The 22,087-nt window shown below is 45.2% G+C and overlaps 1 protein-coding gene across 3 annotated transcripts in view; it reads left to right on the top strand.

The window, feature by feature from the left end:
• Nucleotides 1-22,087, top strand: part of GNA12 (G protein subunit alpha 12) — a 116,204-nt gene that overhangs the window by 47,382 nt on the left and 46,735 nt on the right. For all 3 annotated transcript variants that reach the window (NM_001293092.2, NM_007353.3, NM_001282441.2), the window contains one exon: nucleotides 1,784-1,999. In NM_001293092.2, coding sequence (NP_001280021.1) covers nucleotides 1,784-1,999 — 216 coding nt within the window. The remainder of the gene's footprint in view (nucleotides 1-1,783; nucleotides 2,000-22,087) is intronic.

The following is a 22,087-nucleotide window of genomic DNA, read 5'->3' as shown; positions in this document are numbered from 1 at the left end:
AGTTCTCATAAACACTGCCTTGCTGATTTCGAAACATTAGTCTAAGGATGGTGGAACAGACCTCCTAACTGCTCAGGGGGTGCTGTTTTTGCTGAGAGAATATTTTCCAAAGGCTGGCTGCATTCCCTAATACTATGTTAGTTATTTCTTCATCCCTTTGACCCTGTTGATGAGGTAAGAAGGGGCAGAACAACATTAACTTTATCTTTAACAATGAGGAAACAAGCAAAAGAATGAAAAGTAGTTTCTCATCACAAACGATGGTGACGTTAAATCTAGAACATGATCCCCTGGCTCCCGTTTTGGTGGGCGGGCTACTTGGCTTGTCGTATTTTAGTCTTTTCCTGTCTCATGACTGCTGACTGCCTGGATTTGTATGTTTTCCCACCCGTTTTAAGCTGGAAGAAGCAGTTGTATCTTTTGGAATAGAGGAGCTGCCAGATTTCAGTGATGATGACAATAGTAGCGCTGGTAGTACTCTTGGCAGTACAGTCATCTCCCGTTATCCACAGCCAGCCGCCAACGGAAAATAGGCGCGGACGGTGATACCACATTTGAGAGACAGAAGGAGAGACCATATTTACTTAACTTTCATGACAGTATATTGTTATAATTGTTGTATTTTATTATTAGCTATTATTAATCTCTTACTGTGCCTAATTCATAAATTAAATTAAACTTTAAAAACAATACAGGTAGGGCTTGGTACCGTTCAGACATCCACTGAGGGTCTTGGAACTTATGCCACGGATAAGGGGTGGAGGCTACTATAGTTGTTGTTAAAACATTGTTTTTTTGGCGGGGAGGCTGAGGCGGGCGGATCAGCTGAGGTCAGGAGTTCGAGACCAGGCTGGACAACATGGTGGAACCCCCCTCTCTACTAAAAATACAAAAATTAGCAGTCCGTGGTGGTCTGTAATCTCAGCTAAAAATAAAAAATTAGCCGGGCCTGGTGGCAGGTACCTGTAATCCTAGCTACTTAGGAGGCTGAGGCAGGAGAATTGCTTGAACCTGGGAGGCGGAGGTTGCAGTGAGCCGAGATCACTCCATTGCACTCCAGGCCAGGGCAAAAAGAGTGAAACTCCATCTAAGAAAAAAAAAAAAAAAAAAGTTGTTTTTTTACTGATACACTTCATTTTCCAGTGAAATTTTCTGAAATTGTTGCCACCTCCTCCCCGCCCAGTTGTCTTTTTTCCAGTAGCTTTGCAAATGAATGATAGCAGAAAGCAGACTTCTTTCTGTGGTGCTTATGTACATCTGTTTTCTTTTTTTTCTTTTTTCTTTTCTTTTTTTTTTTTTGAAACAGGGTCTTGCTCTGTTGCCCAGCCTAGAATATAGTGCAGCAATCATAGATAACCGTAGCCTTGACCTCCTGGGCTCAAGCAATCCTCCCCGCTCAGCTGAGACTACAGGTGTGCCACCACCAAGCCCAGCTGTTTTTAATTTGATTTAATTTTTTGTAGAAGCAGGGTCTTGCTCTGTTGCCCAGGCCGGTCTCAGACTCCTGTGTTCCAGCAGTCCTCCCTCTTTGGCCTCCCAAAGGGGAGGCTCACAGTGTGAGCCACTGCTCTCGGCCATGTGCGTCTGTCTTGGTGAGGTTATACTGCTGAGAGTTAAGACTTTCCACATCACAACAAACAAACCAAGAGACAGACTCAGGCTGCACAGCTCAGAGCTTGTGAGTTTTCTGCGTTATGACAATGGATGCCCATTTTGAGCTTCTCTAGCGTGGTTTAGTCTTTGGAATGCAATTAAATCCTCTCTTCTTTCTTTTATTTTCTAGGGCTCAAGGGTTCTTGTTGATGCACGAGATAAGCTTGGCATTCCTTGGCAGTATTCTGAAAATGAGAAGCATGGGATGTTCCTGATGGCCTTCGAGAACAAGGCGGGGCTGCCTGTGGAGCCGGCCACCTTCCAGCTGTACGTCCCGGCCCTGAGCGCACTCTGGAGGGATTCTGGCATCAGGGAGGCTTTCAGCCGGAGAAGCGAGTTTCAGCTGGTGAGTGAGTAGGCCTTCTTGCTGGGCACCTGATAGTGTGTTTTTTACATGACTATTTTGGACCGTTAGTTGAATTTCCTTAAAAACTGTGTAACAGTCCAAGCAAGCTCTAAATCACCGTAAGTTGTAATGATCAACAACCAAAACACGGGATGGAGGCAGATGCTATATAAAAGGCTCAAGAGGGGAAGGAGCAAGAGCCACTCAGGTAAGATCAATAGCTTTCTTCTGGGAATACGGAGGGTTCTTAGAATCATCAGCATTGGCACAACCCGAGAAATTTAGTTTTTTTTAGAGATCTTGTTCATAGTAGGAAATAACACCCCCCACAACAGCTTCCCACTTTGGACCTGTGGGTATGGGCAACTCACGAACGCCTTCAGATCAGCGCCTCGGAAGCAAATCCAACTCCTCCCAGTTGTTCCCTTCAGATTTGTTCCTTTCGTTTTAAGGTCTAAAAACTTCACAAAGCCCAGTTATTTAGATTCATTTGGGGTCTGAATCTATAACCAGAAAATCTGGGGGGTTTTGCCTGTTTGCTTTTTGTTTTTTTCTACCTTTCAAAATTAACCGTATATAAAGTAAAATGTACAATTTTTCTGATAACCAGCATAAATGTGCACAGCTGATATTAATACACACCCAGGGTATCCAGAAATGCCTCTCACTCTCACAGCCGTTTGCCCCCTTAGCACCCAGAGTCAAGTTGAAGTCATGAATCCTTTGCCGTTCTTATGATTTTGCCATAATACCCATTTATTATTTGTAAACACGACAGTCTTGAGTTTTACTGATTCTTAACCTTCATATAAGTCATTTCTTAGTGTATAGTATATATGCTTCTGTGACTTGCCTTTTTCACTCCACATGTTGGAATTTCATCAGGCGAGGCACATAGCAGCGGTTCTTCCCTTTTCACTGCTGTCTGATGCTCCACTGTGGAAAGATACTAGGATCCATTCCTTCTTTCATTGAGGTACTTTTGAACTGTTTTTCATATTTTGCTATTGGAAACGTCTTTTTTTTTCCTTTTTTTTTTTTTTTTTGAGATGGAGTCTCGCGCTGTTGCCCAGCCTGGAGTGCAGTGGCGCCATCTCAGCTCACTGCAACCTCCACCTCTGGATTCAAGTGATTCTCCCACCTCAGCCTCCCGAGTAGCAGAGACTGTAGGCACCCACCACCACACCAGCTAATTTTTATATTTTTTAGTGGAGATGGAGTTTTACCATGTTGGCCAGGCTGGTCTCGAACTCCTGGCCTCAGGTGATCCACCCGCCTCGGCCTCCCAAAGTGCTGGGATTTCAGGTGTGAGCCACCATGCCCCACCCTATTCATATCTTTTACCCATCCTTTTCCTGCAGAGTAATTTTTATTTTTCTCAATCATCTGAGAGGTGCTATATAGTCTGCTAATAGTCCCCTCAGTTCAATTTCCTTATATTCTTCTCCCAAGTCCCCCTAATGTTAACATCTTAACCACTATACAACTATTAAAACTAAGAAGTTGACATCGGTATGAAAGCATCAATTAACTGTAGACCTTGTCTGAATGTGACCCACCTTTCCTCTTGCGCTCCTGTCCGCTGCTTCCTCTCGCGTCCTGTCCGCTGCTTCCTCTCGCGTCCTGTCCGCTGCTTCCTCTCGCGCTCCTGTCTGCTGGATCCTGGCCTGGAATCCCCCATTGTGTTTAGTCATTGTGTCCCCTTGGTCTCTTGCAGTCCATGATAGCTCCTTGATCTTTCCTTGCCTTTCATGACCTTGACATGTCCAGAGCACTGGCCAGGTATTGTGTAGAATCTTCCTGTTTGGGTTTGTCTGGTATTTTCTCGTCATCAGGATGAGGGGATGCATTTTTTTGGCACAGAAACCGCAGGCGTGCCGTTGAGCCCTGCTCAGATCATCTGATCAGGAAGTGCGTGATATTGTCCAGTGGCTGGTGATGCAAGCCTGGGTTGCTTGGTTGAGGCACTGTTGGCCACCTTTCTCCACTGGGAAGTCAGTATTTTCTCTGTGTTGTTAACACATATCTTAGGGAGATACATTGAGACCCTGCAAATAGCCTGTTTCTCCTCAGGCTTTTGCCTGTAAATGTTAATGTCCTCCAGGGCATCTTAAGGATGACGTTTTTACTAGCCCCTTTCCATCTGCACATTCCTTCTCAAGTTAACTTTAACAGTTAAGGTAAAAGAATCAAAAGAGAGTGGAAGATGTGGTTGCGGTAGAAAGGAAATTTTAATCTCCTAAAGAGCAGGGCTGGAAGAAACAATTGGGAAATACATGTCAGTATCTCAATGTGAAATTGAGGTTTACACCTTTTCCCCATACACTCACAGAGTCTGGGAAAGAAGATTCTCATTCATTTAGAACTTGGATGGAAATTGAGGATTTTCCAAAGAAGGAAGCAGAAGTGTCTGGGGCTGATCGTACTGAGTGAGGCTTCTGTCTGGGATTCGGCATGGTGCAGCAGCTTTGACAGGCTTCTGTCTTTGCCCTGTTCCGTCAGTGCAGGGTGTCAGTGCTGGAAGGGACCTCCCAATTTAGGAAGTCAAGCCCTTGTATTGTCACGACATGGAAGTAAGCCCGTACCAGTTATGCTGTGCCTGAGGCCACATCATCTTGGTAATCACTGTGAGAAATTTGGGCCTCAAAGCCCAGTCTGCTTGTTTCTCCCCTTCTTCACTCATTCATTCATTCATTCTGCATTCATGGATCACCTACTGTGTGAGACCCGGTGCTACATGCTGGGGATATAGCAGTGAAGAAGACCAAACATGAGCCTGTCTCCAGCGAGTGAGCTTTTAATCTAGACGTGCACTTGGCGGGTGATTAGGGTAAGGTGGCCACAGGTGGGTCAGTAGTCGTCCCTTTGGTTCGATCTTATGCTTCAGACCATGAGACTTTGTGAAGATACAGAAAATATACTGTTGTAGTCAGTGATGCATTTGTAAAGTCTGTAATAATCAGATGCAGAGATGATGATGTGAAATTCTTGTTTATTGGGTGGTGGGTGCATGACTGTTATTCCTATACTTTATACATTTGCCCTTCTTTTTATTCTTCAAAAAAAATGATGGAGCATTTTATTAAAATAGCTAGATAGTAGGACCCTAATAGTCGTTGTTGTCAAAATACACAATTACAGCAAAACTGAAAGACCATACCCATCTGAAGTCACCGTTACCAGGGCTCCCTCCCCCACCCCTGCAGTAGACCCTTGTTTCTCTTCCAATCTTTTCCTGAGTGTCAAAGCTTTTCTAGGGCAATGCTTCATCACCTTGTTTTTTGCTTGTCTTTCTTCCCCAGCTGACAGCATTTGACAGTCCCTGTGAAGAGCTGCAGCTGCTTTGAGAATTGCTGTCAGCCAGGTACTAGGCGCCTCCCTGTTCCCTCTGCCGTCTTGCTTTTTCCTGCCATTCCAGTCAGAGATAGAAACAAAAAGAGGAGGAAAAAAGGCTGTGTCTGGTGATTACCTTGTGACGACCCTTTCTCCTCTGAGAGGAGCAGGGTGGGCCGGGGTGGGGGATGGAAATCTTCCCTTTCCATAGGGGAGGCAGCCTGGCCGCCTTCCCCACTGGCCCCTTGCCATGCCTGGCCATTGCTGTCCACTGCTGGTCACAGACAGCAGACACCCCATGAGCATCACTTCTGTGGCTCAGTTAAAAGGAAGATGATCTCGCCATGTTAGACCTTATCTTCCAAAACACAGTTAAGTAAGACAGAGCAGGATGCTCAACAGAAAGACTTTGGTCATCGGTATAACTAATATAAATATTATCTTCTTGTCTGTCCTCTTTTTTAATAAAATAAAATTTAGCATTTTTAAATATAGCTTGCTCATTAACTAATGTGCTTATAATATAGTATGTGGATGATATTGCCTACATACTACAAATGTGGATGAATTATCTACTTTTGAGTATACCATTTATTTCTTTACCTTTTTTTTTTTTTTTTAAAGGGACAATCTTGCTCTGCCTTCCAGGCCGGAGTACACTAGTGTGGTCATAGCTCACTGCAGCCTGGATCTCCTGGGCTCAGGCAAACCACCCACCTCAGCCTACTGAGTAGTTGGGATCACAGGCATGTGCCACCACACCTGGCTAATTTTTACTTTTTCTTTTTCATAGCATTGAGGTCTTACTATGTTGCCCAGGCTAGTCTCAAACTCCTGGGCTCTAGCAATCCTCCTGCCTTGGGCTTCCAAAGTGCTGGGATTACAGGTGCATACCACCAGGCCCAGCCTTGGTGTACCTTTGAATTTTAGGATCTAGTTAATTAGAATGGTATGATATAGATATATCAGTGTCTTTGGTGTGTGGATCCTGACCTGAATGTGACCTGGATTTGTATGTCATAGTCCTCCTTCTGTGCCACGGAAGGGTATTCTTTCAGTGAGTCCTTTCTGTGTGCCAGGCCCTGTGCTGAAGTCAGGTCTCATTTCCTCACATAGCCGGTAGGACAGACAGACATGCAAGCAAATAATTGTTATAAATGTGGTAAGAAATATAATTGAGGTTAGACAAGGTGTTGCGCGCCTGTAGTTCCAGCTATTCGGTGGCTGAGGTAGGAGGTTCACTTGAGCCCAGGAGTTCCAGGCTACAGTGAGCTGAGATCGCGCCACTGCACTGATTGCAGCCTGGGCAACAAAGCGAGACCCTGTCTCAAAAAATATGTAATTGAAAAATAATCAGGCTATGTTAAGCATAAAGGAAAAAAGCAGACAATTCTATCCGGCAGGAGGAGGTCAGAGGTGCTTTGGAGGAGACTTTTCTAAAGGCAGGTAGAATGACCCAGGAGACAGTGCGGAGTGAGGTGGCAGAGGGAGCAGACACAGGCAGGGACTGGGAAAGCAGCCGGCAGGGCAGAAGCTTGCTCAGCCAGAGGCTGCCCTGCAGAGTTGAGCAGGCTTTAGGCAAGAAGAGTATGCATGCACGTGGATGCAAGCACAGAAACCCCAGCTCAAACTGGCTTAACCAGAGGCGCTTTGTGAGCCAAAAACTGACACAGGCGGTAGCTTTATGTGCACTGTGAGCTATTTCTCTGCCCTTTCCTGGGCTTTCCTGGGCTTCTCTGTGCTGGTTCCTTTTTGGCCTGGCTTCCTCTGTGGCTGCAAAATGATGGCAGCAGAATGAGGCCTCACACACACACATCACCACCAGGAGCAAGGAGGGGACCTGGCACATGGCCAGGGAGATGCTGTGCGTGGTTGGTTTAGGCATGGATGAACTCTGGATCCCTGTCCTCACCACTGGAGAAGTAGGGGCCGCCTAACTGGAGCAGTGGGTGGGATGTTGCCACCCGGTCTGTGTGCTGTAAGGTGGGTGCAGGCAGGTCTCAGAGGTCACAGCGTTCTCTGCGGCCACATGTACCAAGCAGTTTGAACTCACCTATGGGGAGTAGTGAGGCACCACTGAGGTGTCAGAGCAGTAAATCACAGATCTGAGTTGCTGTTTTTCCAGAAATCACTGTGACTCATGTAAAAGATGCCTGAAGGGGCCGGGCGCGGTGGCTCACGCCTGTAATCCCAGCACTTTGGGAGGCCGAGGCGGGCGGATCACGAGGTCAGGAGATCGAGACCATCCCGGCTAAAACGGTGAAACCCCGTCTCTACTAAAAATACAAAAAATTAGCCGGGCGTAGTGGCGGGCGCCTGTAGTCCCAGCTACTTGGGAGGCTGAGGCAGGAGAATGGCGTGAACCCGGGAGGCGGAGCTTGCAGTGAGCCGAGATCCCGCCACTGCACTCCAGCCTGGGCGACAGAGCGAGACTCCGTCTCAAAAAAAAAAAAAAAAAAAAAGATGCCTGAAGGGGTCCGGGCACGGTGGCTCACGCCTGTACTTCGGGAGCACTTTGGGAGGCCAAGGCAGGTGGATCACTTGAGGTCAGTTCAAGACCACCCTGGCCAACATGGCAAAACCCCGCCTCTACTAAAAATACAAAAATTAGCCATGCATGGTGGTGGGGCGCCTGTAATCCCAGCTACTCTGGAGGCTGAGGCAGGAGAATCGCTTGAGCCCAGGGATGGAGGTTGCAGTGAGCAGAGATCACGCCACTGCACTCCAGCCTGTGCAACGTGTGTGTGCAACAAGACCCTGTCAGAAAAAAAAAGGGGAGGTAAGATGGGGCAAGGCCGGCTGAGCTCTCCTGGGCTCCATAGAGAGGCAGTGTGGTCATAGCAGGGCAGAGGTAGTCTTGATCCTTACCCTCATGTCCTACTGTTCATCACCCCATCTGCTTCTTTCCTGGCTGCACAGCTCTTTGCTTCCTACCTAGTTAATATCCTCACTATCTAACTTTCCTCCAAACATGGCCTGTGAGCAGGCCGGTAGCATCTTTAGGTACAGAATTGCCTGAATAAGTGGAACTACTTATTGTTTTTCATGACTTACTTTTGAAATTGTGGCCAGTCAATTACATGTAGTAACTAAGTTGTGAATATAAGTTGTGTCTTTTCTTGCTCGGTCCAGAGTGTGCGCTCCTGTCCTCAGCTGCATATGAGCCAGAGGAGGGTGGGGAGGGAGAGCTCCCCTCTTCTTTTAGAGTGACTTCCTAGACGTGCCGTCCAACACATCCTCAGAAGTCTCCTGAACGGGAACACAGTTACCTGGCCACAGCGACAAGGCAGGCTGTGCGGCGTGGACTCACAGCCAGCAAACTGTCCCGGGGAGGAGCTGTTGAGCAGCCTGGGGGAGCCTGGATGGATCCATGGGGTGGCCATGGGAGCAGCTTCCACATATTCTTGGCTCTCTGGTTTTGCTGGCATTTGTTTTTTTTTTTGGAGACAGTCTCGCCCTGTTGCCCAGGCTGGAGTGCAGTGGCACAATCTCAGCTCACTGCAACCTCTGCCTCCTGGGTTCAAGCGATTCTCCCTCAGCCTCCCACGAGCAGCTGGGATTACAGGCGCCTGCCACCATGCCCGGCTAATTTTTTGTATTTTTAGTAGAGATAGGGTTTCACTACATTGGCCATGCTGGTCTCCAACTCTTGACCTCAGGTGATCCTCCTGCCTTGGCTTCCAAAGCTCTGGGATTCCAGGCGTGAGCCATGGTGCCCGGCCCTGGCATTTGTTTTCTCTCTGCCGTGGTAACAGAGTTGAGAAGATGACCACAAATCTGGACTACATTTTCTGCCTTCTTGTGGTTTAGCATAGCCGTGGGACTGAGTGCTGGGCCTTGCTGTAGGGGCGAAATGACACTTACCCCCGGCCTCTCCCCCTTCCCGATGCCTGGCCAGTGTCAAGAATCTGAGCAGTCAGCGTGGACCCACAACGGAAGCGGCCTTCAGCCTATCTTGTTTAAGCCTCTGTGTCTTGGCTTTAGCTCTCACCAACGTAGCTTCCCAGAGTGGCGTTTCCCGGAAAGCTCAGAAGATGGTGGGTGCCTGGGGGAAGGGAGAAGAGTGTTGTAGCTGGAAGAATGGCAAGCGCAGAGGCCCCTAGGCGGGAGCAGGCTTCGTGCTCCAGAGTGCAGCAGGGAGGCTGACGGGAGGTGGGCCAGAGCGGTGGGTGACAGGCGACAGCTCGTGGTGCCTGTGGAGGGGCGCCTGAGGGCTGCCGGAAGGACTTAGGAATTGGTCAGAGGCGTGCTGTGGTTTGACTGACACTTAAATAGGATTGCGTTGGTAGCCATGTTGATAATAAAAGTGAGGGTCCCATGGAGGCTCTTGAAGTAATGTAGGTGACGGTGACGGAGGCGGTGAGCTGCCATCAGTTTCCAGACACCCTAGAACCGGGAGGGATTCACAGGCCACCTCGCCTATTGCTCACACAGCTTCAGGATTGCTGGTGTGTCCGCCCTGAGGAAGAGCGAGCCCCAGGGTTGTTGTGTTCTGTCTGTGGATTTGGGGTGCTTACTGGGGAGCCCACCGCTTGTCTTTGTGAGTACGCCCAGGCTGCCTCTGTGTGTTTGGACCCTGCCCCTGGAGGGCAGAGCAGACAGAGCTGAACCCCGTGTTCATGGTGTCACTCACAGTGGCATCTGGTGTCTTCCTTGCCGGGGGCTTGGCTCTCTGCCAGGAGACATGTTTCAGACCCAGAGTCCCCAGTCTCCCCATGAAGGCCATCACCCATCGTTCCTTCAGGTCTCGAGATGGGCATGGTGGGTTGGGGATGCCCAGAGTCGCCATCTTGAATGGGGCAGGGAGAGGTTATAGCAGCTCAGAGACACCTGCCCCAGGGACAGCATCAGTCCCGGTCTGTGCTGGTCACGGACTAGCTGACTTCTCAAGCATTCGATTAGTGTTTAATTAGTGAAAACTAAAGTCAGCAAATCGCACCAGCCCCTACCAGGTGCATGAGAGGATTTTCCCCATACCTCAGCTATATGGCTTTAGACTTCTATATGCTTAGTCTTCCATAGATAGACAGACAGACAGAGATATAATATGTTTATACGTTTAGTTTTCTGTAAGTTTTGCCAGCTTGGTAAGTCGAACTTTTCATAATCATTGGTTCTTTTCATATGTTTATTGGCCATTTACATTTATTCTCTTCTTAGTTGGCTATTGACATTCTTTGCTGCTTTATTTTTCTTTGGGAATAAGCATCTTTTGATTCGTACCAGTCTTATCGCCAGGCGCCCGTTTTTTCCAACTCCCTTTTCTTTTTTTCAATTTTTCATTTTGAACTAATTACAGATTCACAGGAAGTTACACAGATAGTCCTTGTGTGTGTCACCTGGTCTCCCCCCAATGATGACATCTTACAGGATTATAGCACGGGATGAAAACCAGGAGACTGGCATTGGTGAGCGTGTGCATGTAGTACTGTGTCACTGTATTACATGTGTAACACCACAGTCGAAATACAGAACCATCTCCCACCATGGCCTCCCTCATGCCGCCCCTTTCCAGTGTACCTTCTTTTTAAACGGAATCTCGCTGTGTCACCCAGGCTGGAGTGCAGTGGTGCGATCTCAGCTCACTGCAACCTTCACCTCCTGGGTTCAAGCGATTGTCCTGCCTCAGCCTCCCGAGTAGCTGGGATTACAGGCGTCCGCCACCACACCTGACTAATTTTTTATTTATTTTTTTATTTTTCGTATTTTTAGTAGAGATATGGTTTCGCCATGTTGGCCAGGCTGGTCTTGAACTCCTGAACTCAGGTGATCCACCCACCTCAGTCTCCCAAAGTGCTGGGATTACAGGCATGAGCCATTGTACCTTTTTATTTCTGAGTAGTATTCCCTAGTATGGAGGTACCACAGCTTGTTTATCTGAAAAATGTGTGTGTGTATGCACATACACAATACACTTACACATGAAGAAAAATGTGTGTGTATATGCACATGTACAATACACTTACACATGAAGACCGCATCACTTTTCAGCTCATAGGATAAGTCACAATGTCAGAAATAAGTGAATAATTTCTAGAGAAAATAGAGTTATTTCAGATATTAAACCATCAGAATTTACTTTCTTAGTTTTGGTTTGGTACTGTATATATGTGTGACCGTTTTTAACCTTTCACGCTAAATTAACTTCCATAGTGTGATTCAGAGCTTTCTTAACTGTTACAGTCAGAAGGACCTGAGAAATTCCCCTACCAAATCCTATTTGATATTGACACCGTTTGAGGTCTGAGACTTGAAGAAATTTGCCTGACGTGACAAAGCTAATGAATGACCCAGACAGGCTTGAGAAGAATTTAGAGTAGCCTGGGTAGTCTCATGCTTACTTGGGTGCTGATCCCAGCTCTGGAGCGGGTGGGACACTTGCTTTTCCTCTGGGGTGGCTCTTGCCTGAGGATACAGAAGCAGGAAGCTGAGGTATTTGCTATTCTTGGATCCTGCACTGGTGAGAAACTTAATGTGTTTCTGCCTGTGATGTTGGCCTTTCCCCTTCATTTCATTAATCACGAAGAGTATTATATACTTATAAACCTCTAAAAATCTACTCCTCTAGGGGAAAAAAATGAAGTGTTAAGTATTTTAACATAGATCCTTAAGCCAGTACATAGTGGCCCAGGGTAAAAATGTGTGATGTAATAGAGTTAATAATGAAATACTTTATGTGACAGCAAGACCAGAAACCCTAAAGGAAAATAATGATGGATTTGAATACATAAACGTTTTTAACATTTGTATGGCAAAAGTCAACATAAATTAAGAGTCAAATGACAAATTTGGGGAAAATTGCAACCTATAACAAAGGTGTTTTCTGTATGCTAAAGGAGTGAGAGGGCGCTTGCGAATCAGTACACAAGGGATGCATCCCCAGGAGAAAGCGAAGGAAAGAAGGAAGAGGGTCATCATCCATGCCACTCATTGTGGAAACATAAATTAAAGTCATGGTGAAATAGCTTTGTCAGCTAGGTTGGGAGTGATTTTAAAGAATAATGCTTTGGGCTGATTGGGTCTCAGGAAGTAGGTACTATCATACATAAAAGGTAGGAGTATACAGTGAGGAAGTTCCACAGTTTGTGTCAAAACATAAAGTGTTATTCTATTCTTTGGCAGTAATTCATCGTCCCAGGAATTTATCCTAATATAGTAATTGTAAGATTTCCAGCTTGGCTGGGCATGGTGGCTGATACTTGTAATCCCAGCCCTTTGGTAGGTGAGGCAGGCATATTGCTTGAGTCCAGAGTTCAAGACCAGCCTGGGCAACGGGGCAAAACCCCTTCTCTCCCAAAAATACAAAAAGATTATCCAGGTGTGGTGGCATGTGACTATAGTTCCAACTACTCGGGAAGCCGAGGTGGGAGGATCCCATGAGCCTGGGAGGTTGAGGCTGCAGTGAGCCATGATCACACCATTGCACCTCAGCCTCAGTGACAAAGCAAGACCCTGTGTCAAAATAAAATAATAAAATAAATGTTAAATTTTAAATTAAATAAAATGAGATAAAAATGATTTCCAGCTTCTAGTTATAGTGGACTAGTTATCTAAAGACCTGCTGAAAATAATTTAAAATGCTAGATAAAATGTTAAAAATAAATTTATTAGGCCAGGCATGGTGGCTTACGCCTGTAATCCCAGCACTTTGGGAGGCTGAGGAAGGTGGATCACTTGAAGTCAGGAGTTTGAGACCAGCCTGGCCAATGTGGTGAAACCCTGTCTCTACTAAAAATACAAAAATAAGCCAGACATGGTGGTGGGTGCCTGTAATCCCACCTACTCGGGAGGCTGAGGCAAGAGAATCGCTTGAATCCAGGAGGCGCAGGTTGCAGTGAGCCGAGATTGCCCCACTGCACTCCAACCTGGGGGACAGAGCAATACTACATCTCAAAATAAATAAATAAATAAATAAATAAATAAATAAATAAATAAATAAATAAATGTGTTACAGCCTCTAAGCACTGACAGGATTGTAAAGCACCACCAGGCGAAACCTTACAAGAGCCTGGTGGGAGAAGCAGAGCCTGAGCTGCAGTTTCTGACAGATCTTTTGGGGGTCCCGAAGTGGAGGTGGAAATGAAGTTGGGGGATCTGATAGGAGACTGCCGTGTAATGAATGGGGACCTCAGAGGGTGAGGATGAATGGAAAGGATACGCACAAAGAGGGGACAGCAGAGAAGCAGGGCAGGGAGAGGGAGGAGACAAACTAAATCCCACCCATGGGCCAGCTCCCCGGGAGACCTGTCACCCACATACCTAGCACCATGGCAGTCCAGGCAACCCCTGTGCGATGGATCCAGTTTAAAGTGACACCAAACAGATAACATACCCAAGTGCCTGGTAGAAGCCAACTTTCTCTGGAAAGACACTTTAACCCTAAACCATGGAGATTCCCCACAGATGGTTTCTTAGGGGCAGGGGCATCACAGAGACAGCCAGACTCCCAGGTAGACAACACAGTGCCTGGAACCAGAGGCTGCAGCAGACGGTGGGGTCAGGTCAGACCTACATGCTTCAGATATTGGACTCCGACACCGGTCTTTAAACAGCTGCCCTAACTTGTTTAAAGATAAAAGTTAGAAAACTGGACACTATTTAAAGTGACATGGCATATGTTTAAAAGAACAAACTAGAAATTCTAGAATTGAACATTTAAAACTAAAAAACTCAATGGCTATGTTAGGCAACAAAGTATTAGTAAACTAGAAGAAATAATGGAAGAAAGTATCAAGAATGTAGAGCTGAGAGACAAAAAGGGAGAATATAAAAGGTCAGGAGGAAGGAGGATGGGGTCAGAAGGTGTAATGCACGTTTAACACTGAGTCACAGGAAGAAAAGTCGGGGCAGCACCATGTTTGAAGTGACGGTGGCTGGTAAATCATATCAAACAGTCAAGAAACCCAGTGAATCCCAAGCAAGATTAAAAAAAAAAAACCAAAACACTATAGACATAATAAAACTGCAGAAAACCAAACACAAAGAGGAAAATCTTAAAAGCAGCTACAGAAAAAGGTAGACGTGAACTTTCAAGGAGTGACAGTTTGACAGCTTTCTTCCCAAAAGCTACAGCAGGCGCCAGAAAGAGTGGAATGATATCTCGAGGTGGTGTCTACAAGAGAGCTTAACTCTCAATCTAATTGAGTTTTGTAAAATAGAAGGCAGAACAGAGACATTTCCAAACACAGAGAGTTGATGGGTAGCAAATCCTCCCAACAGGAATCATAGGAACTACACTTGAAACAGGAAGAATGTGATTTCTGATGGAAGGTTTGAAATGTGTAAGAAATAATATGAAGACTAACATCTCTTTTTTCTTTTGTTTTCACTTTTGGTGTCAAAGCTAAGAATTTGTTGCCAAATCCAAGGTTATTAAGATTTACACCTACATTTTCTTTTTATGTTTAAGTTATTTTCTATTTAGGTTTTTGGTAAATTTTGAGTTAATTTTTGTATATGGTTTGAGGTAGGGGTCCAAATCCATTCTTCTACATGTGGACACTCAGTTGTTCTAGCACAATTTGTTAAATGTCTCCTCTTTCCCCATTTAATGGCATTCTTGTTGAAAATCAATTGGCCATAGATATGTGGGTTTATTTCTAGACTCCAAATTCTATTCTCTCAATCTATACATCTATGCTTATGCCAGGAACACATCACTTTGATTACTGTAGCTTTGTAGTAAGTTTTCAAAGTGGGAACTGTGAGTCTTTGAGCTTTGTTTTCTTTTCCTCATTGTGGTTTTGATTTGCGTTCCCTTGAGGAGTAATGATGTCAAGTTGTAGTTGTTATTGATGAAGAATAACATGGACTTGCTCTATCACAGAGATTAGCAAACTTTGGCCTGCAAGCTAAATTTCATGTAGCTTATTTTTGTACGCCCACCCATGAAATAAGATTGTTCTTTACATTTTTCAAGGCTTGAGAAAAAAGAATATACAGTAAAGACAGCTACATGTCTTTAGACCCACAAAGCCTGAAATATTTACCATTTGGCTGTTTACTGGAAAAGTTTGCTAGCCCTTTCTCTAATTATCAGATATTAAGATTTATCTTTTTAAGAACTTCAATACAGTGGAGGTGTTGGTGCAGAATTAGATAAGTAGAGTAGTCAAACCACATAAAGAACAATGAAATTGTACCCTACACACACACACACACACACACACACACACACACACAGACACTTACTTTGAAATGGATTAGAGACCAAATTTGAAAGGCAAAACCATGTATTTAACGTGTGCGTGTGTGTGTGTGTGTATGTATATACACATATATATGAGAGAATCTTCATGATCTTGATGTAGGAGAGAATTTCTTAAAGAACTAAAAGTACAAATCCAAGAGGAAAAGATTAATAATTTGACTCCCATAAAATTAAGAACTGCTGTATATTTTCAAAGATAGCACCAGCTGTGACAGTGAAGTCATTTGCTATCTGTAACCTACAAAGGTGTGAGTATCCAGAAATAGGCAATTCAGTATGAGTTACGGCTTTCAATAGGCACTTCTGAGAAGAGGAGATGATATTATGATATACTCACAGATTTGCAAAAATTAAAACGTGACAATGCCAAGAATTGGCAAGGATGTGGGATGACAGGAACTCTCATACACTGCAGTGCTGGTGGGAACACAAGTTGGTTTCTCTAGTTTGGAAAACAGATGGGTATGATTTACTAAAGTTAAGATATGTGTTTCCAGTGGCTCAGTAATCCCAATCCTAGGTATGAAAAGCCATGTATGTAAATGTTCATAGCATTATATATAATTGAAAAAATCCAAATGTTCCTCAACAGTAAAATGGGTGAGTAAATTGTTTTTTTTTAATTTCTGAATGCTGCAGGAAAAATGAGCAGAGGACAGCTCTCAGCAATATGATCAATCTCACAAACATTATGATGTTGGCCCAAAGATACCAGACACAAAAGAGTACATATAGTGTGTTTACATTCATACATAAGCACATATATAGTGTGATTACATTGAGAATTCAACCACATTGTTGAAGAGTGCATACACAGGAGATAAAACTACTGGAAAGGATACCAGCATCAAGACAGTGGTTGCTTCTAGAAGACAGAGCGAGTGTTTTGATAAGGGTGCTTCTGAGGTGCTGGTTGCAGTCCATTTGTTGACCTTTGTGATTGCTATTTTATCGGTTAGTGCATGTATCTTTTATGCATTTTTCCTATATTGTTATAATTTACAATAATAATTTTAAAAAGGAAAATCAGATCAATATGCAAAGATTATTTGCAAGGATGTTTATTGTATTGCTTATAAAAACAAAAAGGAAACAACCTAATTATTCACTGGTAGGGGTTGGTTGACTAAACTGGAATACTGACCATGTGATAGAATATTGTCCAGCGGTTAGAAAAGCTGAGAGAGAACTCTCTATGTTGACATGGAAAGAAGTCCCTGACGCATCAAGTGAAAAAGTGAGGTAAGTAGCAAAATATATATCCTGTTTCTGTTTAGAAGGGAAAACAGGCATATATATATATATATATATATATATATATATATATATATATGTACACAGAAATGTGTAAAAAACTAGTACGTGGTGTAAGTACATCCACTGAGCTACCTCAGTTGTTCTATTTTTCTTATTTTTATATATGTTTATGAAAACATTCACTTTCTAAATTATTTTTATTTTTAACTGTGGCCAAAACATGTATTATTCGCCAAGCCTGCTGGCTCACTCCTGTAATCCCACCACTTTGGGAGGCTGAGGTGGGCAGATCACATGAGGCCAGGAGTTTGAGACTAGCCTGGCCAACACAGCAGAACCCCATCTCTACTAAAAATACAAAAATTATCCAGGCGTGGTGGTACATGTCTGTAATCCAGCCACTCAGGAGGCTGCAGCATGAGAATCACTTGAACCCCGGAGGCTGAAGTTGTAGTGAGCCAAGATCACACCACTGCACTCCAACCTGGGTGACAGAGCAAGACTCTGTCTTAAAAAAGTTAAAAAGTTTTTAAAAATGAAGTGTTTTTATAATCAGAAAAGGCCATGAGAACAATTTTAGAGTGAATTATAAAAATTACTGTGACAGGAATTTTTTTTTTTTGAGAGTCTCACTCTGTCTCCCAGGCTGGAGTGTAGTAGCGTGATCATAGCTCACTGTAGCCTCGAACTCGCAGGTTCAAGCAATTCTCCCACTTCAGTCTCTCGAGTAACTAGAACTACCGGTGTGCACCACCACACCCAACTTATTTATTTATTTATGAGACAGGGTCTGGCTCTGTCACCCAAGCTGGATTATAGTGGCGCAATCTTGTTTCACTGCAACCTCTGCCTCCTGGGCTCAAGCATTCCTCACGTCAGCCTCCTGAGTAGCTGGGGGACTACAGGCATGCCACCACATCAGGCTTTTTAATTTTTTGTAGAGAAACAGCCATGTTGCCCAGGCTGGGGTCAAACTCCTGGGCTCAAGTGATTCACCCGCCTTGGCCTCCCAGAATGCTAGTATTACAGGCAGGAGCCACCACGCCCAGCCTCAGCTAATTTAATTTTATTTTTTGTAGAGATAGTCTCACTGTGAAGCAGTCTTCTTGCCTCGGCCTCCCATAAAGTTTATGTATTATTCCTGAAAGAAGGCTTACAGTTGAAATAATTCTGGTTAAATATAACGTACCCTTAATCTGAAAGTTTCAAAGGGTGGTAGTATCAACCCCATTCCCCATCCACTTTTACCAGATTTCAACAAATTTAATCAGCTTCCACAAGAACTGAGTAAAGCCCAGGGAATGAGAAGAGCCCTGGACTCTCACCATTTTCGCTACATATTATTGAAGCTTCAGTCCTTAGCTATCAAGGAAGGCGGTATTAATACCCTCCTTTTAGACTGACTCTGAGAGATGTGAAAACATCTAGCACCATGCTTAGCAAGTAGTATTTGTTTACCTACCTGGCTCTCTGATTTTGAATTTCTTTTGTGCTCAGCAGTGGGCTATGAGCTATAGGAGGAACGATTTTCTTCCATTCATCTCCCTGAGAGCCAGGGGTCTGAACTCCTGAAGTAGGGGCCTGTATTACCCAACTTGTGGAGAGATGATCACAATTTAGCCTCCAGCTCTATGTAAGTAGGGAGCTGTTGGTGTGAGTGTCATGGAAGAAATCAGACTTTAACTTGGGTGGTTTTGAATGAAAGATGAAATTCTCAAAAGAGATAGGAGGGAGGTGGCACAGATGGGCTGATGCAATCCATAAGTGGTGATCGGAGACTCAGAAGCCAGCCTGCTCTTGTGAAAAAGCAAGGCCTGCCCTATTCTGGCTGTTCTTAGGAGAGGTTTTGTGAGAATTTTGCGTTTAAGCCAAATGAAATGCTTGATTTATTAAGTTGTTATGACTTTTTTCTTTTCTCTTTTTGAAAAAATTGTGGCGAAATATGCTTTTTTTTAAGTCTCTTCTCACTAAACCTTCTAGCAGACCAGTATTAACAACTGGACACATGTATCCCAGCGAGTCTTTGGAAAAGACTATGCCGCTAAGGCGGCATAGTGTAGCTCGTGTTTGAGCATTTCCTCGGAGACATTCCTGTGATGTGAGTGCAGTTGTGATTTGCTGTTTGGTAAATAGGAGATTGAAAGGCCCTCCTCTTCTGAAGTTGGAAGACATCTTTGCTGGGATCACCAGGGACACCTCACAAGTTTTAGTTGATCTTTTTAAAATTTCCTTGCTTATGAGTTCAAGGTTTAGAAACAAATCTGAGTTTATTTATGAGCCTTTCACATCTGAGTGGGCAGATTCCCCAGGAGTAGTATTTTCATCATGTTTTCTGTCTTAGCTGGAGCTGCCATAACAGTTCCACACACTGTGTGGCTTGAAAACAGACATATATTTTTCACAGTTCAGAGGCTGTGAACCCAAGATCAAGGTGCTGGCCGGTGGGGTTCCTGGTGAGGGCTCTCTTCCTGACTTGCAGACAGCCACCTTCCTGCTGCTTCCTCACATGGTGGAGAGAGAGAGAAGCTCTGATGTCTCTCCGTCTTCTTATAAGGGCACTAATCAGGTCATGCTCCCACCTATGACCTCTTCTAACCCTAATCACCTCCCAAAGACCCCACCTCCAGATACCATCCCACTGGGAATTAGGGATAGGAATTTGGGGAGGCACAGCCATTCCATTCATAACAGTGTTGTGATATTGTGAAGTATACATTTGGTCTTCCTTTCCATTTCCAAACATATAGCTTCGCCCTTTCAGGCATCTGGTATAATTGAACTAAGAGACAATATCATCTCTTGTTTTGAAGCTGCTTTCGAGGTATTAATATACCATTGGATTTCTATCATATGGCCCATTTATTCATTCCGTTACCCTCTGCTACTAGTCCTCCTTTTCTTCATTTATACCCAAGCGTCCACGTTTGAAAGGAGCATTAGGTTCAGTCACTGTGCTGGTCTGGATTGCAGGCAGCAATAACCTAGCCAGTGTCTCCCCTCAGTCCACTCCCATTCAGATAGGGTAGGGCTACACAGGTGCAGGACTAGGGGGCTGTATTTACCACCAGGAAGTACAGCTGCAGTCACCGTGAACCCCAGTTCTCCCAGATGGGGTAAAGGCACAACCCACCCCCATCAGGTCCTTGGAATTCCAGTGTAAGGTTTATTCTTATTTTATTATTGAGACAGAGTCTCTGTCACCCAGGCTGAAGCACAGCTGCACAGTCACAGCTCACTGCAGGCTTGAACTTTCAGGTTCAAGTGATCCTCCCACCTCAGCCTCCCAAAGTCCCTGGATTACAGGCATGAGCCACCTCTCCTGGCCCCGACGTAAGGTTTAAAAACAGTACAGTTTCTTGCTTAGGAACCAGCTCTGCTTCCAGCACTGGGGTTGCAAGACCTGGTCCTAGGATCACTGCACCAAGTGGGAGCAGGGTGGCCAAGCTGAGGTGATGCAAGGAAGGAAGAAAAATGTGTAATCCTTATGCCAGCCTGCTCCTCTCTCGGCAAGAATTGTGTGGTCACACCAGCCTCCTTCCCAGCCCCTCTTTCCCTGATCCACAAAACAGGAACATCGAATGGGGACGTCCTTTAGCCGTTGAATGTGGGCCAGCCCTTCATGCTTTCATCGCCCCTGTCTTAGCCAGGGTTTTAACTCCCCGTTCCGCTGCTCTGTCAGACTCACTCCGAGGAGGATGCGTCTCTGCCCGTTGTTGGACACCGTGGGATGTACAGTGTGTCCCCTGGTCTGAGGAAATGACGGTCGGTGTCCAGATCCGAGCAGTGTCTTCTGTTCTGTTCTTTCTATAGCACTCTGAGCACTGGCCTCTTCCACCAGGCAAGCAAAGCCCAGTCCAGAGTCAGTGTTCACTCTGGTTAAGACCCATTTGTTGGCTGGGCGCGGTGGCTCACACCTGTAATCCCAGCACTTTGGGAGGCTGAGATGGGAAGATCACTTGAGCCTAGGAGTTAGAGACCAGCCTGAGCAAGGATTGCTGAAGCCCAGGAGGTTGAGGCTGCAATGAGCGGTCTAACCTGGATGACAGGGTGAAACCCAGTCTCATAAAAAAAAATCAAAAGACCCATTGTTAGCCCCCAGGGCTATACTTGCCAGCTGTGTCCAGGGCCTTCCCACCAGGGGAGCTGCCCCATAGCCACCGGCAGTTTCTGTCTCTCCAGCTGGCAGGCAGAATGGCTGCATTAAGCCTAGCTGTACGGACCTTTTCCACAGTACGGGTCTGGGCCCTGTGCCCCTGGGTAACCTGTCCAGGTAGTGTGAGGGATGAAGGGAGGGGAGGACTCTGCCAGCTCTGTGGGAGGCTCCTTAGGTGATTCTGAGCCTGGCCTGTATTGAGAGCCACTGATGAGCCTCTGAGGTCTCTTCCACTTGTGACGTGATTCGGAGCCTGGCCCTCTGCTTTAATTCATAGGCAGAGTTTGATGGCAGATATCTTCTCCTAAGAAAGCCCGTCACGTTAGAACAGGCTGTTGGGTAGGACACAGGCGTTTAGTATCCAAGTTTCGCAGATGCCCATAGACCAGGCAGCTCTGTTTTGCTTCTGCGTTTATGAAAAGAGCTGGCAGAGTGCTTCGGCTCCAGGCCTTTTCGAGACACTGGGCACGACGTTCCTCCTGAGCTGCTGTGGCTGAGATAGAAGGGATCAGCAATGGAGGCTTTATTTGCAGATGATTTTCCTCCTCTCGGTTTGTCGTTCCCACTCTTCGTCTTCCAGAACCTTTTTAGACCCCATGACTTCAATCCTCATCACCCAGGACATTCAGGCTGGCTCTGTCTCCTTCCCATCAACTTAATATGACCGTATCTAACCCTAAATGAGGCTGCAAAATTAAAAGCAGCATACTAGCACCAGAGAAAGGATATCTTAAGCCTATTCAAATCAAACCTCAACACCCTGGAAGCTGGCGCAGCGGCTGCCTACAGAAAGGAGAGCTAGGGAGCTGAGACACTGGTTTCTCTAGCGTCCTCCTCCCCTGTTACGAATTTGGTACTCTGTGCATGTATTGTCTATCCAAAAACTTGAAAGATGTTAGTCATCCTCAGTAGAGGGGAAGTAACTCATCACATAGTGAAAAGTCCAAATTGTTTAACTCTTTAAGCCACGTCTGGTGCCACCAAATTGGGAAGGGATGTCGGTAAATTAAATTGTGCAATTCATACTCTTTTGAGAATATTATTAATATTGACTCTCATATCTTGACTGCCTGCTGTGCCAACCACTGTGCATGAGTCAACCCAACCCCAGGTAAGAAGGTGGCTCAGTAACACA

This window comes from Homo sapiens, chromosome 7 (assembly GCF_000001405.40).
Source record: "Homo sapiens chromosome 7, GRCh38.p14 Primary Assembly".
Taxonomy (NCBI): domain Eukaryota; kingdom Metazoa; phylum Chordata; class Mammalia; order Primates; family Hominidae; genus Homo; species Homo sapiens.
This window is presented reverse-complemented; position numbering and strand designations above follow the sequence as displayed.